The 13,960-nt window shown below is 37.5% G+C and overlaps 2 protein-coding genes and 9 non-coding genes across 31 annotated transcripts in view, besides 2 other annotated features; 1 reads left to right on the forward strand and 10 right to left on the reverse strand.

Moving 5' to 3' along the window:
• CEP295 (centrosomal protein 295) overlaps window positions 1-2,649 on the forward strand; it is a 68,677-nt gene extending 66,028 nt beyond the window's left edge. For 8 of the 19 annotated variants that reach the window (XM_011543047.2, XM_011543049.2, XM_011543048.2 and 5 more), the window contains 5 exons: window positions 972-1,112; window positions 1,725-1,821; window positions 1,902-2,072; window positions 2,161-2,260; window positions 2,340-2,649. In XM_011543047.2, the coding sequence (XP_011541349.1) occupies window positions 972-1,112; window positions 1,725-1,821; window positions 1,902-2,072; window positions 2,161-2,260; window positions 2,340-2,568 (738 nt within the window). In that variant the 3' untranslated portion in view covers window positions 2,569-2,649. The remainder of the gene's footprint in view (window positions 1-971; window positions 1,113-1,724; window positions 1,822-1,901; window positions 2,073-2,160; window positions 2,261-2,339) is intronic. The other 11 variants (XM_005274367.3, XM_005274368.3, NM_033395.2 and 8 more) reach the window with 3 other exon arrangements.
• TAF1D (TATA-box binding protein associated factor, RNA polymerase I subunit D) lies at window positions 2,485-13,786 on the reverse strand. Of its 3 annotated transcripts, none has more exons than NR_146091.2 (14): window positions 13,613-13,786; window positions 11,528-11,622; window positions 10,400-10,790; window positions 9,355-9,530; window positions 8,985-9,042; window positions 8,432-8,595; window positions 6,916-6,951; window positions 5,641-5,688; window positions 5,378-5,412; window positions 4,535-4,582; window positions 4,044-4,090; window positions 3,441-3,507; window positions 2,968-3,003; window positions 2,485-2,738 (listed from the first exon to the last, which is right to left on the reverse strand). NR_146091.2 is itself a non-coding variant. In NM_024116.4 (6 exons), the coding sequence occupies exons 2-6, from the start codon at window positions 11,593-11,595 to the stop codon at window positions 8,452-8,454; spliced, it is 837 nt and encodes a 278-aa protein (NP_077021.1). In that variant the 5' UTR covers window positions 11,596-11,622; window positions 13,613-13,786; the 3' UTR covers window positions 7,858-8,451. The 3 variants fall into 3 exon arrangements, 1 of the variants encoding a protein (NP_077021.1); NR_146090.2 differs by having other exon boundaries at window positions 5,641-5,796; NM_024116.4 differs by lacking the exons at window positions 2,485-2,738; window positions 2,968-3,003; window positions 3,441-3,507; ... (3 more) ...; window positions 5,641-5,688; window positions 6,916-6,951 and having other exon boundaries at window positions 7,858-8,595.
• SNORA25 (small nucleolar RNA, H/ACA box 25) lies at window positions 2,804-2,937 on the reverse strand. Its single transcript, NR_003028.1, has one exon. It is a non-coding gene; the product is annotated as a small nucleolar RNA, H/ACA box 25 (small nucleolar RNA).
• Window positions 3,270-3,390, reverse strand: SNORA32 (small nucleolar RNA, H/ACA box 32). The gene has a single exon (NR_003032.1). It is a non-coding gene; the product is annotated as a small nucleolar RNA, H/ACA box 32 (small nucleolar RNA).
• SNORD6 (small nucleolar RNA, C/D box 6) lies at window positions 3,794-3,864 on the reverse strand. The gene has a single exon (NR_003036.1). It is a non-coding gene; the product is annotated as a small nucleolar RNA, C/D box 6 (small nucleolar RNA).
• SNORA1 (small nucleolar RNA, H/ACA box 1) lies at window positions 4,295-4,424 on the reverse strand. Its single transcript, NR_003026.1, has one exon. It is a non-coding gene; the product is annotated as a small nucleolar RNA, H/ACA box 1 (small nucleolar RNA).
• SNORA8 (small nucleolar RNA, H/ACA box 8) lies at window positions 4,652-4,790 on the reverse strand. Its single transcript, NR_002920.1, has one exon. It is a non-coding gene; the product is annotated as a small nucleolar RNA, H/ACA box 8 (small nucleolar RNA).
• On the reverse strand, window positions 5,519-5,591 carry SNORD5 (small nucleolar RNA, C/D box 5). Its single transcript, NR_003033.1, has one exon. It is a non-coding gene; the product is annotated as a small nucleolar RNA, C/D box 5 (small nucleolar RNA).
• SNORA18 (small nucleolar RNA, H/ACA box 18) lies at window positions 5,757-5,888 on the reverse strand. The gene has a single exon (NR_002959.1). It is a non-coding gene; the product is annotated as a small nucleolar RNA, H/ACA box 18 (small nucleolar RNA).
• On the reverse strand, window positions 5,965-6,055 carry MIR1304 (microRNA 1304). Its single transcript, NR_031639.1, has one exon. It is a non-coding gene; the product is annotated as a microRNA 1304 (primary transcript).
• Window positions 7,401-7,527, reverse strand: SNORA40 (small nucleolar RNA, H/ACA box 40). The gene has a single exon (NR_002973.1). It is a non-coding gene; the product is annotated as a small nucleolar RNA, H/ACA box 40 (small nucleolar RNA).
• Window positions 10,209-11,408: an enhancer, noted in NCBI's record as "CDK7 strongly-dependent group 2 enhancer chr11:93471084-93472283 (GRCh37/hg19 assembly coordinates)". NCBI's record gives its function as "activates an origin of replication core promoter dependent on BRD2, BRD4, P300/CBP, MED14 and CDK7 cofactors, with strong dependence on CDK7, by STARR-seq in HCT116 cells {active_cell/tissue: HCT116}" and the evidence as "EXISTENCE:reporter gene assay evidence [ECO:0000049][PMID:35650434]".
• Window positions 13,446-13,955: an enhancer, noted in NCBI's record as "active region_5398". NCBI's record gives its function as "activates an Ori minimal core promoter by ATAC-STARR-seq in GM12878 lymphoblastoid cells {active_cell/tissue: GM12878}" and the evidence as "EXISTENCE:reporter gene assay evidence [ECO:0000049][PMID:35858748]".

Below are 13,960 nucleotides of genomic sequence, written 5' to 3' on the forward strand. Positions count from 1 at the left end.
AGAGATGAAGTTCCCACTATGCTACCCAGGCTGAACTCAAACTCCTAGGATCAAGGGATCCTCCTGCCTCAACTTCCGAAGTAGTTTGGACACACCACAATGCCTGGCAGGAAAAACCTGAAACAAAATACAAGCAAAACTGCTTGTTAATATTGCTATCCAGCTTGTGATCACTAGAAATATCCAGCATAATGCAGAAACTTAAAAATTTGAAAACTGTCTTCTGAGAGTATTTTACAAAAGATCCTTTTTCTCCCAATTCAGATATCCTTTCTCCAACTTCCCTGAAAAATGGTGGTTCTGCCTGTGCTTCAGCACTTTCAGTGTTGAGCCTCATTCCAGTGCAATGAATTCATCCATTATTGGAATAAGTATTGGAAACCTGCTCCTCATATTAAGCAACTTATAATCTGCTTGCTTTCAACACCAGTCAACTGGTGACTGGTTTTCATCTAGCAGTATGTGCAGTTTATCCTTCCACAAATAAACATAACAGATTGAAAATAAGAATTACAACTAAACCACGTTTTATGTGGCTGCTTTTGTTCTTGTTGTGTTTAGATACTTTTGAAACATTATCTGTTAGCAGTCAGTGGCCCACATTTGGTAGCAGCCCAGTCGACCCCTGCTCCCTTTAAAGGATACAATTCGGCACAGCCAACCTGCATTTATATTTTTTGCCCAACACTACAAGCATTTAGGTTTGTAATCATTGTGGTAGATACCTTTCAGTCCATTGTCACACTATTTCATCCCCTCCCCAAAGTAGGCTCCAGTATTTCTACAACTGAATGCTGGAGTTATGGAAGCCTAAGGAAATCTGATCTGTTGGTCTTTGCCAATCATTGCTTTTCTTCCTCCATTTTCACATTTATATACACTTGCAAAAAATGTGCATTATATACAAAACGATTAGTTTAAGTCTTTTAAGGCTATTTTGACATGGTTTTCCTTTTAATTGTGGTTCACAGGAAACAGAAACTGGCCATGGTATAATGGAAGAACCAGAACTTACTTTAATAAGCACCACTGATACCAGTATTGCTGAAATGGATTTTGCAAATTTAACCCTAGAAGAGAAGAGCGAGAATGAAGCAAAATGCTTCTTTCAGGTAAATTTAAGCTTTCCTTCTATTTTATTCTATTACAAGCAAACCAGTTGATTTGTCTCTTACAACTTATCAGAAGGTACTCATTGGAGGGAATTATGCTATGCATTTAACTAAGCCGACACCCCCACCAGCTCTCAATTTGTCTTAAACCTTCACTATTCTGTCAACCATTGTGCATTTTCTTTTAATCCCCACTCCAATTTATGCCTGTCTCCAAGACTGGCAGAACTAATCTTATACACCTAGTGTTATAGTGCCAAGTTGGAAGTTTTACCTAAACTTATTCCCAGATATTGAAAAATGACTTCAGAACAACTGGTAATTTTACTAGGGGAGTAGGGAGGCAATAAGAATAAAGCTATCTAAACAGAGGCCTAGAGGTGTGAGGGCAGTGGAGCCTAAGCCCAGTTCAAGACCAGCCTGGGCAACAAGGCAAAACCCAATCCCTACAAAAAATACAAAAATCAGGCATGGTGGCGGGTCTCTGTAGACCCAGCTAAGATTGAGGCTGCAGTGAGGTGTGATCATGCCGCTGCACTCTAATCTGACAGCAGAGCAAGACCCGCTTAAAGCGTTTAAAAAGAGTAAAACATGCAACTTTCTTGCCATTAGGTGAGTGAGTTTCTGCCTCTTGTATCAGCAACAGAAGCCTCAGATTATCCAGCTGTATCAGAACTTTCCATAGAAAAACCAAGGACAGCATCTACAGGTAAGCCTTGGACGGCCTCCACACTTCTAATGGAAAGTAGATACTTTGCCTATTTCTGTCATAAATTTCTTTTCCCCCAGCAGAAACCCCTCGCAGGCTTACACCTGTACCAGGGAGCTTACAAGAAGCATTTATAAAGAGGAAAAAATCATTTATGGAGAGATCCCACCAGAGGCAGAAAGAAATAAGGAATAAAATTCATGTCTCTGAAAATTCTCAAATCAAAACAGTTAAAGAGAAACCATCTATAAGTATGTTGAATTTTTAAAATCTTCAACCAACTCCCTGAAATGTTTAAAGCCTTGTGTTTACAACTTGATTTCACTTTTCTTTCCTCAGGTTCATCTGTGAGTCGTCTAAAGGGCGTGAATAAAGTCAGAGCATCTTTTCCTGAAGACAGAAAGACTACACAGGCTCTAAGGCACCAAAGGGGTCTAAGGTAGGGTTAATTTTTTTTTTTTTTTTAGTGATTCACTTTTTGCAGTGTTTGTCTCTAATTCTATATAAATTCTTTACAGGTTATACAATCAACTAGCTGAAGTGAAACAACAAAAGGAAGAAAAAACAAAACAAGAAGCTTATGCCCAAAACAGAGCAAGGGCAAAAGAATTCCATAAGGTGAGTATAACTGAGGGAGAAGGACTTAATTTTTCAAGCATGAAGTACACAACTGAAACTCAAATTTTTATTCCTTCCACAGAAAACACTAGAGAAACTTCGAGCCAAAAATACATGCTGACTTTCTAGAAATAGTGTAAAGGTTTTTTAATTGTGTATATGTAGCATTAGACAAAATTATTTAAAGTCAATAAATTGTTATTCGAGGAATTCCATGTTGTGATTTCTTCCACTGTCCATCAAGGTCACTTTAGATCCTCTAAAGAGCTGGAGTCAAAAGATTTATCTTCAAGTTTGCCCTGAAGAAGAGAAATTTTGATTAACCTTTAAAACTCTCACATGGCAACAATCCTGGATTATTACGTTTTATATCTCCTCAGGAAAACATAGCACCAAACATTAGGAGTGCTATGGCTTCCTATAGAGAACTTCCATCTTTGGTCACAGCGTTAAGAGCTCTGGGTTTCACAGCCTCATAAGCCCTCTTTGAAATGACCCATACAAATGTCTTTTCTAATGCATACATACCTTTTTAATGAAACTGATCCAGTTGTCCTGTCAGCCCTACATAACAATAGTATAAAAGTAAATTTTACATTTCCAGAGATGAGTGTACAGTGAGTGAACATGAATGAGTCCCTAGAACGAGCCTGAGTTAACTCTACTACAAACTGCTTGGTTATTAGCAACCCACAAGGGTTACAATATAAAGGCAAAGCAAATTTGCATGATTCAAGAGATCTAGGAGAATTTTCAAATCTCACTGATTTTAAAGAAAAATCACATGTGGTTCACATTTTATTTGTATTGCATTTCTATTACAGTTAATCAACTGTTCCCAATAAGCTGATTGCTAGCAAAGTAGCAGATAGAAAACCTACTGGGAAATTTTTTTATGGTCATGTCCACAGCAAATGAGAAACTGCATTCTAAAAGCCTTGGTAATGACCATTACACCCTTGAGCAAATAACTTATAGTTAAGATAAAAACCATTACTTGCCATAATTACTTTGGCTTCTGTCATCTCGTTTTAATATGGATATACTGATGAAGACTTCAAAATTCACCTGTGGAAAAATGTGTATTTCAAATTTATATTTACTATTAAGTACATAAATCTATCTTTCAAGAATGAGGTTGCTTAGGTTCCAAAGTATCCTGAAACCCGGCACCCCAAGTAAGGTATTGAAAATTCTATGCTTAAAATAGCTATTTAAACTAATAGGTATTTTTAAAAATCAATGATCCCATGCCCATTCATATCCGAATTTGCTCTATGATCATGTTTCTGGTAACTTTTACCTTTGAGCTTTTATAATCTTCTGAAATACAATGCAATATTTAATGTAAATGGATGTTCAGAAAGGCCATTTTCATTCAGCCCCTTCAGAGCAGTTGAACATTTCGCCCATCATCATAACATCGTTAATAATGAAGTTTAAACACATAATAACGTAAGCCTAGTCCTTTTTTTTACTCCTAAGTGGTGATAGATGTTGCAATAGCATTGCTAGATAAATAAATAACCTAAAATAACATTTGGAGAAAAGCTAGTATTCAACAAAATAACCTGCATGGCCTTTTAAGTAATGAATTAACTTACCAAGAATCTTTGGGATCTAATTTCTTCAACCAATTTACTTTAGGGTCCTAGAAGTTGAATTGTACAAAGTACAGTTACATTTTGACACCTGATCCAAGACACAGTAATGTATACCACATTACAATGTTTCAGTCAATATACAGCACATAAAAAAAGTGGTCCTATAAGAGCTGAAAATTCCTTATTAAATGTTATTTCTAATATTGAAAAGTCAACATTTTTCTCCTACATTTTTACTCATAAACATAGCAAAATGTTACAGGTCTCATTGTCACCACTGCAATATGCATACTGTGATGGAAGCATAACCTGTCTCAATTTAGCCACATTAACTATTTTTGGACACCATGATCAACAGTGCCCATTCTCTAGAATGAGGCATTGTAAAAGTCTTTAAAGCTTAGTAGTGTATTTGTACGAAGTTCTTGTTATGCTGGCAGTGCTACTGATAGAGGGAAACAAGCAGAATCAATAGAAACAGAGAATCTTACCTTTTTACTGTAGGTGGTGGGGATCTACCTGGTTCTCAATTTGACACCCTGGAAAAAAAAGCATTGCTTACTATTTTAGAGTATATCAAACTGAACACTCTGAGAAACCTACACAAATACTGTATCAGTAGAAATACCAGGTTTAACAAGCACAAAGCCAAGAAAACCAACGATGCCAGATACTGAATTTCTATAGCACTGACCTTTGAACACCCTAGCAGGTGTAAACTGCTGAGTGCAGATACCATGCAGTGCAATTATGACTGAACTGTACAACTCGTATTCCCAAATTTGCAATATTGCTGAGAAATGCTTTCACAAACCTCTCAAATTCCTTTAACAAGTACAATAATTTGAGCTTTTTTCCTAATTGTCACTGTAATAAGGAAGCTACATTAACTACATTTTAAGCTACAACTCTAGTCTTTGCCTAATCTTTGCCCAGTCTCTCTATAAAACTTAAAGATGGAATATATACATGTAACTTAACAGATCAGACAACAAACGTCAAGCTCATTGTTGCTCAAACTGCCAGTTACACAAAATTCTTTTTATGTAATTCATATCCCTATTGATTCAACATATCCACACAGGTTTACGTGACTTTAGGATGAAATATGTGTAACTGCCAGTTGAATAATGATGCAAAGAACACAGGTAGTTTCGTTTGGTAGGTATAGACATGCAGTCTCTTCATTTTCCTTCTCTATACAAATATATACATTGTAATATTTTTGCCAGTATCTTACTAATTCTGTGTTATACCTGAAATACTGGGATGGTGTAATTTCTATTTTTCATCTTTTGAGTCCTTGATTATTATAAGTTAAATATTTTACTTACCTCTCAACATGAATGAGTTCAAATCACATTCATTCCTATAGAAAGTACCAATTAAAGATTTAGAAAGGATACATTTCCAGTTATTAAAACTAAAACCCAAGTATAAATTTAAGATCCAGTTTATTATACAGCCATATCCAGCTCTGTCAGAATTAAGTTTTAGTTCATGCCCGTTATCATTCAGCAGTTGAACAGTTAAATTCATCATCTGAACTGTAATCATTATTTCCCAAAAGATTATACTGTCACCAATTAAAACTTACCTAAGCGATCACTCAAGAATGGTACAGATGTGTGGAGTATGCCAATACCTAAGGTAAAAAAGTAGATTATCTGGTTTTTCATAACGTTTAGCAACCGTCTTTTTCAAACTTTTAGCAACTGTCTTGTAATTCCTTCCCACAGATCTAACAATAGTCCTGTGAGTAAAGTAAAACCACAGAGTTACTCTATGAGGCGTTTCCAACGATGTGCAGGCTACAGGAAAAGCCCCATCGGGATAGACCTCAACCACTATTTACAAGGTTTTGATTTTTTTTTAAAGACACAGGATCTGCCATGTCTTTTAAAAATCGTGTGATTCTTGCTGAATCACTTGAGCCCAGGGGTTCGAGGCTACAGTGAGATGTGGCAGGATCACATCTCACTGTAGCCTCAAACCGCTGGGCTCAAGTGTTTCTCCTGCCTTAGCCTCCAGAGTAGCTGGGGACCACAGGCACCACTGTGTCCAGCTAGTATTTATACACATAAATAACAAAGTCTAACACTCCATAGGAAAGAAATTATGAGCAGAAACTGCAATATGCTCTTACAATATTGCCAACTGCAGAAACTTCCTACTACGTTAATCACAAAAACAATAATTTCACAATCACGTTGTGCTTAGGAGCCAGAGGAATGATAAATAAAAAGTAACATCAAGTAGCTCCTTTACATGAACCAAAGGAAAAAGATTTAAACTTAAGATTTAAGTTTAAAGTCTAACTGTTGTTATGAACTTCAGTATTGCAACAGAGGATGTTGTTTTCCCAATTCGAAGATTTCAGCAAATTTTAATTCTTGGCTCAAAATTAATTGTCATCCATTATAAAATACAGGAATATAATGTGCCTGTAAGTTACGACTTTGGCATTATATAACTTTTAATCAAACTCTACATCATTCAAATTTATGAATTCTTATGACCTGTGTAATCATCTTTTATTATACTATATTTTGCATTAAACCATAAAATCCTCTGCCTCATTTTAGATTGTGCATTAATTCAAAATAATGCTGTAGGCTTCAAGTAGGAAATCCAAAGTTCTGATTATTGCTACAAACTAACAAATTCAGGACCCTCTAATGCTTGCAACTAAAATGAATCTGACACATCACTATAAAATGTGTGAATCTAGGATTCTTCTTTTCAGAAATCAGTATAAATGGGAATTAAAAGCATGGTAGAAATGTCCCTGAATAAAATGAAACTTGCTCTGACAACATACTGTTTCCTACACATAAACAAATATGATGTGAAAACTCAAATTGAGACATACCTTTAACTCCAGACACCATGTTCTCAAGATAAAAGCCTTTAAAACAAAAAGCCATTGTGTATATCATCAACATGAAATTGGAATGCAAAATTAATACTGCTGAGGATTTCCCTCATATCCCATGCTGTTTATCTATTCTACAGGCCTGGAATCAACCTTTTTTTCTTAAGAGACAGGGTCTGTCTTTGTTACTCAGGCTGGAGTACAGTGGTGCCATCAAAGCTCAGTGCAGCCTCCAACTCTGCCTCAGCCTCCCCCCTTTCTGAGTAACTCCAACTACAGGCACATGCCCCAGTACCCAGCTAATTTTTAAATTTTTGTGGAGATGTGTTTCTTACTTTCTTGCCTAGGCTGGTCTTGAACTCCTGGTTTCAAGCAATACTCCCACCTTGGTGTGGGGATTGCAGGCTTGACCCATTGCACCTGGCCTGGAACCAACCTTTATGGCTATCAATACTCCCATCAATCAACTGTCTCAGGTATCATAATATCCCTTCTTATATGTATCAAAACTCATACTGAACAATGAGTTCTGGGTTGCAAAAGAGGATTTATTTTTTGCACCTATCTGTAAGTCTTTGTCCACGTTAAACAAAAACATACATAAGTGCAGTCCCAAAATGCACTACATAGCAGAGTAGTCAGCTCTATCGTGGTGATCAAAATAATGAACATCGGGGTAATGACTGGTTCTCCCCAGGTATACATGTTGAATAAATGTGTATGCCTTTTCTTGAACTAATAAAAAGTGAAAATGGTAGTTAAAAGTAGTATTAGGCCAGGTGCCATGGCTCACACCTATAATCCCAGCATTTTGGGAGGCCAAGGCAGGCGGATCGCCTGAGGTCAGGAGTTCGAGACCATGGTGAAAGCCTGTCTCTACTAAAAAAACAAAAACTAGCTGGGTGTGCTGGCTAACGCCTGTAATCCCAGCTACTAAGGAGGCTGAGGCAGAATCGCTTGAACCCGGGAGATGGAGGTTGCAGTAAGCCAAGACTGCGGCCATTGCACTACAGCCTGGGTGACAGATCGAGACTCTGTCTAAAAAAAATAGTATTAAAGATACTCTAAATTTGGAAAGGGAAATGAGGTTATTACAATACTAAGCATCTGACAGGTCACTTGTCATGGCTGAACAAAGCTGGGATAAAATTACAGCATTTCAAATCCCCTCTTCAAGATGGTTGGGTGTCAAGTTACTTTAAGATTTTCTTTTCAAAATTAAAATCACTACATTTCATTGTTTCAATACTCACAGGACACCTGTAAGCTCTTATTCAGAAATCAAATGACAATTTCTCAAATTTTTCTATGTATTTTCTCTGGTGTTTTAATGGTTTTTTTTCTAATTATTACTACTTCACAAGTTTCTTTCACAAACTTCTTCACAGGGTTAAAAATTTTTTTTCTTGTTATAAAGTTCTGGGTTTCAGAATTTCTTCACCACCAGACTGGTACATATATCCACATTTATCTTTATTCATTTCTATGAAGTCGTTTTTTCTATATGCTTCACCTTTGACATTCATGATCCTGTCACATTTTCAGGCCTCTCTGTCCAGTATTTTTGGCTTTTGTAGCTCTCTTTTTAGACAAAGCAGCTTCTTCAGTAATATCCTCTTCTTCTAAGTATACACTCAGTCTTACAGGGAATTCAGAACTTACTATGAAACTATCCCCCTGCATAAAACAAACAAAAAATCATGGATTAAGCAATAACTCAAATAGTTTAGTAATTACATATAGCTGAATGCCCTGGATTACTTCAGATAACCTAGAGACTACATGTAGATGTTAAAAATCCAAATTAACATTGCTTATTTTTTCATTTGACATCCTAACTAGCAATAATATGTATCAGAATGCTACTTATTAAAAATAGTACTGAAAACCCCATGTTCTTTATCAAGTCTCTAAAAAATTATTTTCCTTCTTGCATTTCCTGCAGTAAACTTATAGAGCTTTTCAAAAGTTAAATGAAGTGTAAGAGAAAAACTAAATATAATTCCTTCTGTATCAACCAACTCCTGCCTTCCCAAAATGGAATAGGAAAAAAATAAGTCACTTACTGCCAATTTGATATCACATTCGTTATCTTCAAGATGTGTTGCATCCTCATCCTCTGCTCTGTAATATTAAAATTTATCATCGAGATGACAGAATCTTCGATGACCTAATTAGTTGTATATTCCACTCTGAAATATAACTGAAACTGCAATACTAGTCAAAGGAAACACAAAATTTGAGAATTTTGTGTTCTGGAGAATTCTAGATGAACGGTGTGCCAAGCTTGGCTCAACTGTAATAATCCCAATTGTCATACTCTGTATCTTTGTTCATTATTTAAGTATAACTATATTAAAGGCAAAATATGAAGCAATTAACATAGAAATTTAATTTATAACCTATTACCAAAGTATTTCATATGATTCCACTTACGTTGACTCCTCAATAGGAGAAATGGATCCATCATCATCCAAAAATTTGTATCTACGACTGTCAAAATCTTCATTTTCTAAATCTTCACCAACATTCATTTGCTTCAATGATTCTTTCAGGTGGTGTTCATACTTCAGTTTTTCAATATAGTTAAAAAATCCTCTTGCAACAGCTTGCTATATATTAAAAACACCATAAGTATGTCGAGATTTTATTTTTAAGACCCAGCAGGTGCCTATGTTCAAAAAGGGCAATGCCCCCCCTTAGCAAAGACTCTGAATTTGCTATCTTAACTACTCCCCACTTGTGGACTTATCAAATGCTGATTATTAAAATTCACATTACAATTATGAATTTACCTAAGCTGGTAACATGGAAAAGTGAAGTACATATCTTGTCATGTCTGGGACTTACTAAAGGCATTTTAAAATGTAAAAACAGGAATAAGATTTCTAATGTTTACTATAATCACCTTAAACTTAAGAGATTAACTGAAGAGATTAACATGTATTAATCCTCCCAAATAAAATTTCAGGTTCTGGCAAGGGATCATAAATTAATTCTGAATTCATTCAACATACAACTCTCAAATATTTAAAAAAGTCTACTCCTAAGTATTAGCGTATTTTTCAGATAATTGGCTTAGAAACATCTAGGCCTTAAGAATATATCCACTGAACATAAGGCATGTGTGGTTTTAGTTTAGGTTACTGCAAAAGTAATTTCAAGTTATGTGAGCTTTTATTATCCCCACTGAGTTTTAGGGTTGTGTTTAAAGACCTGAGATGGGATAAGATCAAAGGATTTTATACAAAGAGCCTTGGAGCACTATCTTTTAAATATGGCAAAGTGTAGTTATATTAAGAGATACAAGTCAAGATTCAGTTGAAGGATAGGGTGGACTTTAGGGGTAAGTCAGTATAGAAGAGTATCAAAATTGCAGACAGTCTGTTCCCAGTATATCTGAGACAATTCTAAATTGGCCAACAAATCATTTTGGGCATCTTGAGTTATGTGTAGCCATGTATGTAAAATGCTGACTCACCTCAAACGTTAAAATTTTTCTCCAAGGTGCGTTTTTTTCATTCTCTGATTCTAAAAATGGGAAGCCAGATCCTCTGCTTCTAAATTGTTTCTTCTTATCTATTAGTGAGTATATAGGATTTCTCCTTCCTTCTGGTCTTCCCCGTGGTCTTCCTGTTGGCTGGTACCTCCTCTTTTTCTTTTTTTTATATCTCTTTTTCCTGTTCTTGAATCTTTCAAAAATAGCTTTTATAGTCAATGGTATTGGTTCAAAAGATGAGTCACTTGATGAATCACTTGCGTGAACACTTTCAGGTGTACGAACAAATTTTCGAATGGGGTTTCTTTTCTCCCCTTTAGGTGAGTAAGGGATACACTGAGTTTTAAATAAGCTGCTATCAGAAGAGTTATCACTAGAAAAATGGGAAAAAAATTAATTTCATCTTCTTTTCTTACTGCTTATTACCATTAATACCCAGTCCTAAATGTACATTTCTTCCAAGACCAACTCAGAAAACATGCCCAGAATTAAAAATTTTTTAAAGGATGGGCTCAGAACCAGCTAGCCTTTCTACTGATCATCCTATTTAAATAGCCCATAATGCTACAGCTCTTATTAAAGAGTTTTGTAGACATCGTCTTGCTGTCACCCAGACTGGAGTGCAGTGGTGCAATCACAGCTCACTGCAACCTCAAACTCCTGGAAACTCCAGGGATGCTCCTGCCTCAGCCTCCCAAGTAGCTAGCTAGGACTAATGGCATGCACCACTATGCTCAGCTTACAAAAAAACTGTATCTTTCAAGACAATGTATGAGCTCCAAAAGGCTGTATGGTTCGGTTCACTGCTAAGAGTGTCTGAGTAAAACAAACACAGCCTACCGAACCGGAGGATGTAGTCTGGAAGAGATGCTAATATGACCCAAAGAATACATTTTTTCTCGACGAATGTGTCCCATAATATATTCACATTTTGAATTTAAAGTATTTGCAATGCTATTATATCAATCTATGTAACTAGATAAACTTGGAAGGTCAGTGAAATCTAGTTTTCCTTCTTTCCCAATTCCTGAAAATTATCTTTACTGTCACTCATTATATACAATAGTTTCTCATAATTCAGATACAATAAACATGATTGAATCCACTCACCTTCGATTTGCAAGTTCCACAGCATCAGATGTCACATGGTCAAGAGAATCTATTCCTGATTTATCCATCAATTGCTCTTTGTTTTAAACAGTTTTCTGAAATTATGAAATTTAGTAAATATGACAAAGCTTCCCTAAATATTGACAGTATCTACTACAGTGTTGAACGTGGTCAGACTATGCCAATGATTTCAGGCGAAATCATTTACCAAGGTTAAGCTTCTTATCCATTTCAGATCAGTTTCTTTAAAAAGAAATCCAGAAATTCTATTCACAGGTTCTTTCAGTTGTTACCCTCTAAATGTATTCAACGCAACAAGATTCCAAAAAAGTACCGTCCCTTCCAACAAAAGCATCTTTCAATATAAGTAAAAAATGTAGTTTTATCATTAGCCACATATTTTAACGTACAATTACCAATACAGTATTAATGTACAATTAAAAGCCGTTTTCCAAGATCAAAGGGGGAATTCCTAAAGCAAAGTGTGCCCTATATAAACCAGGAAAAGGATCTCCAATCAATAAACCATTTTAAACTCCTAATCACCTCTCCATTATAATTCCTAGATTCTTCATTCCTAGATTCATTTAAGCAACTGAACTTTGTCATATTGTATCTTTGCCATTATTGGTGGAAACTGACAAGTTCTGAATTCTCAACCTTTTTCAATGAACTATCATAATTCTTGTGTCTTCATCCCCATGGTAGAGAGTATACAACATACCAAAAAAAAAAAAAAAAAAAAAGAAAAAGATTCCTTCTTGTGAGCTAAAAGAAAAAAGAAAAACAGGTTGGTCTGGGTGGCTCAGGCCTGTGTAACACAGCACTTTGGGAGGTCGAGGCGGGCGGATCGCTTGAGCCCAGGAGCTCAAGACCAACCTGGGCAACGTGGTGAAACTCCGTCTCTACAAAAAATACGGAAATTAGCCAGAATAGTGGCGCGCGCCTGTGGTCAGGAGGCTGGGGTAGGTGGAATACCTGAGCCTGGGAGGTGGAGCTTGTATGTAGTGAGCCTCAGCAACACAAGGAGACCCTTGTCTCTACAAAAAATTCTTAAAATACTGGCTAGGTGTGTTGGCCCGTGCCTTTGCTCCCAGCCACTCGGGAGGATCGCTTAAGCCGCGGTGGAGGTTGCTGTTAGCCGAGATTGCACCACTGCACTCCAGCCTGGACGACAGAGCAAGACCCTGTCTCAGGAAAAAAAAAAAAAAAAAAAAAAAAAAAAAAAAAGGCATGGCAACAAAAATTAAAGATAACTACTTATTTCATTATTGTACATGCCTTAGTCAATCTCTTGTCTCATTCTGTAGCTTCTTGGGACCTGACATGAGTCATTACATATAAATCCTAGGATGAACTAGCAAAATATTTAAAATATGAAACGATAAGGTCACCAAGAGCTCAGATTTGTTAAATGCCCCCTGTGGTATTTTCCTGGTACAAGGTCTTACTAGTTTTTTTAAGTACAAGATTCTACAAAGTCATTAAATATCGAATGCTCAAAAACGGAATTCAACAAAAATTTGCCCCCATGCTTTAACGGTATACCTGTAGTTAATTTTTTTTAAAAGTAGGGATTATCAAAATAAAGCTAGCTCAATAATCACTTTTTCGAAGTGTTTAGAAGACACTCCTACTTGGGTGTCGATGCCTCCGTGGGGATTCTGCAATTCTTAGAGGCCACGTGGGCAGAGAGCGGCGCTTTACCCGGAGCTAACGCTGTGACCACCAGCGCCTCTCACCCGGCAGCGCCTAACCTGCAGAAAACCGGCGCGAGTAATGGGTACCTCACATACGAAGGTTAAATCATTTAAATCACGTAATAAGGTTAAACTTGTCCGCAACACGATTTAACACCTCCATCTCAAGATATAATGAAGCCCGTCCACACTACAACCACGTTTGTGTGGGACTCATACCAGCCGCGTGGCGCGGAGTGGCCTGCGGCCGTGATCCCTTCACCCTCTCGGACCGACTTCGGAGTCTCGATCCTCCGGACCAACGAAGGGGCCCCGGGAAACCCCAGATATGCAACGCCTCCCCCGCCCGCCAGGCCCGGACGGCCTCGCCCTCTTAGCAACCTACCTAAAACGGCCTCGCAGTGGCCCCAACCGCGCACTTGCTGCTTGTAACCCAGGCCTCGGCCCAAAACCCGCGACTGGCCTGGTGTCCTAGAGCTCTGTACACACCACCCTCCCGACCTCAGCCCTCCAACTCCCGATAACCAGCCGACCTCCTCCAACCGTGCGGAAGAAAAGGGTTGGCTATTTCCGTGGCCCAAGTAATAGTCAGGCCGAAATCTCGCGATACAACTTAGCTTCCGGGAAGAAGGCGAGCGGTGGGAGGAGACGCGACGTGGGGGCGCCATTTTTCTCGCCGCGCAGGGAGGACTGACTAACGTGGGCGGAGCTCTAGCTCGCGTATTCTGAGGAG

This window comes from Homo sapiens, chromosome 11 (genome assembly GCF_000001405.40).
Source record: "Homo sapiens chromosome 11, GRCh38.p14 Primary Assembly".
NCBI classification, from domain to species: Eukaryota; Metazoa; Chordata; class Mammalia; order Primates; family Hominidae; genus Homo; species Homo sapiens.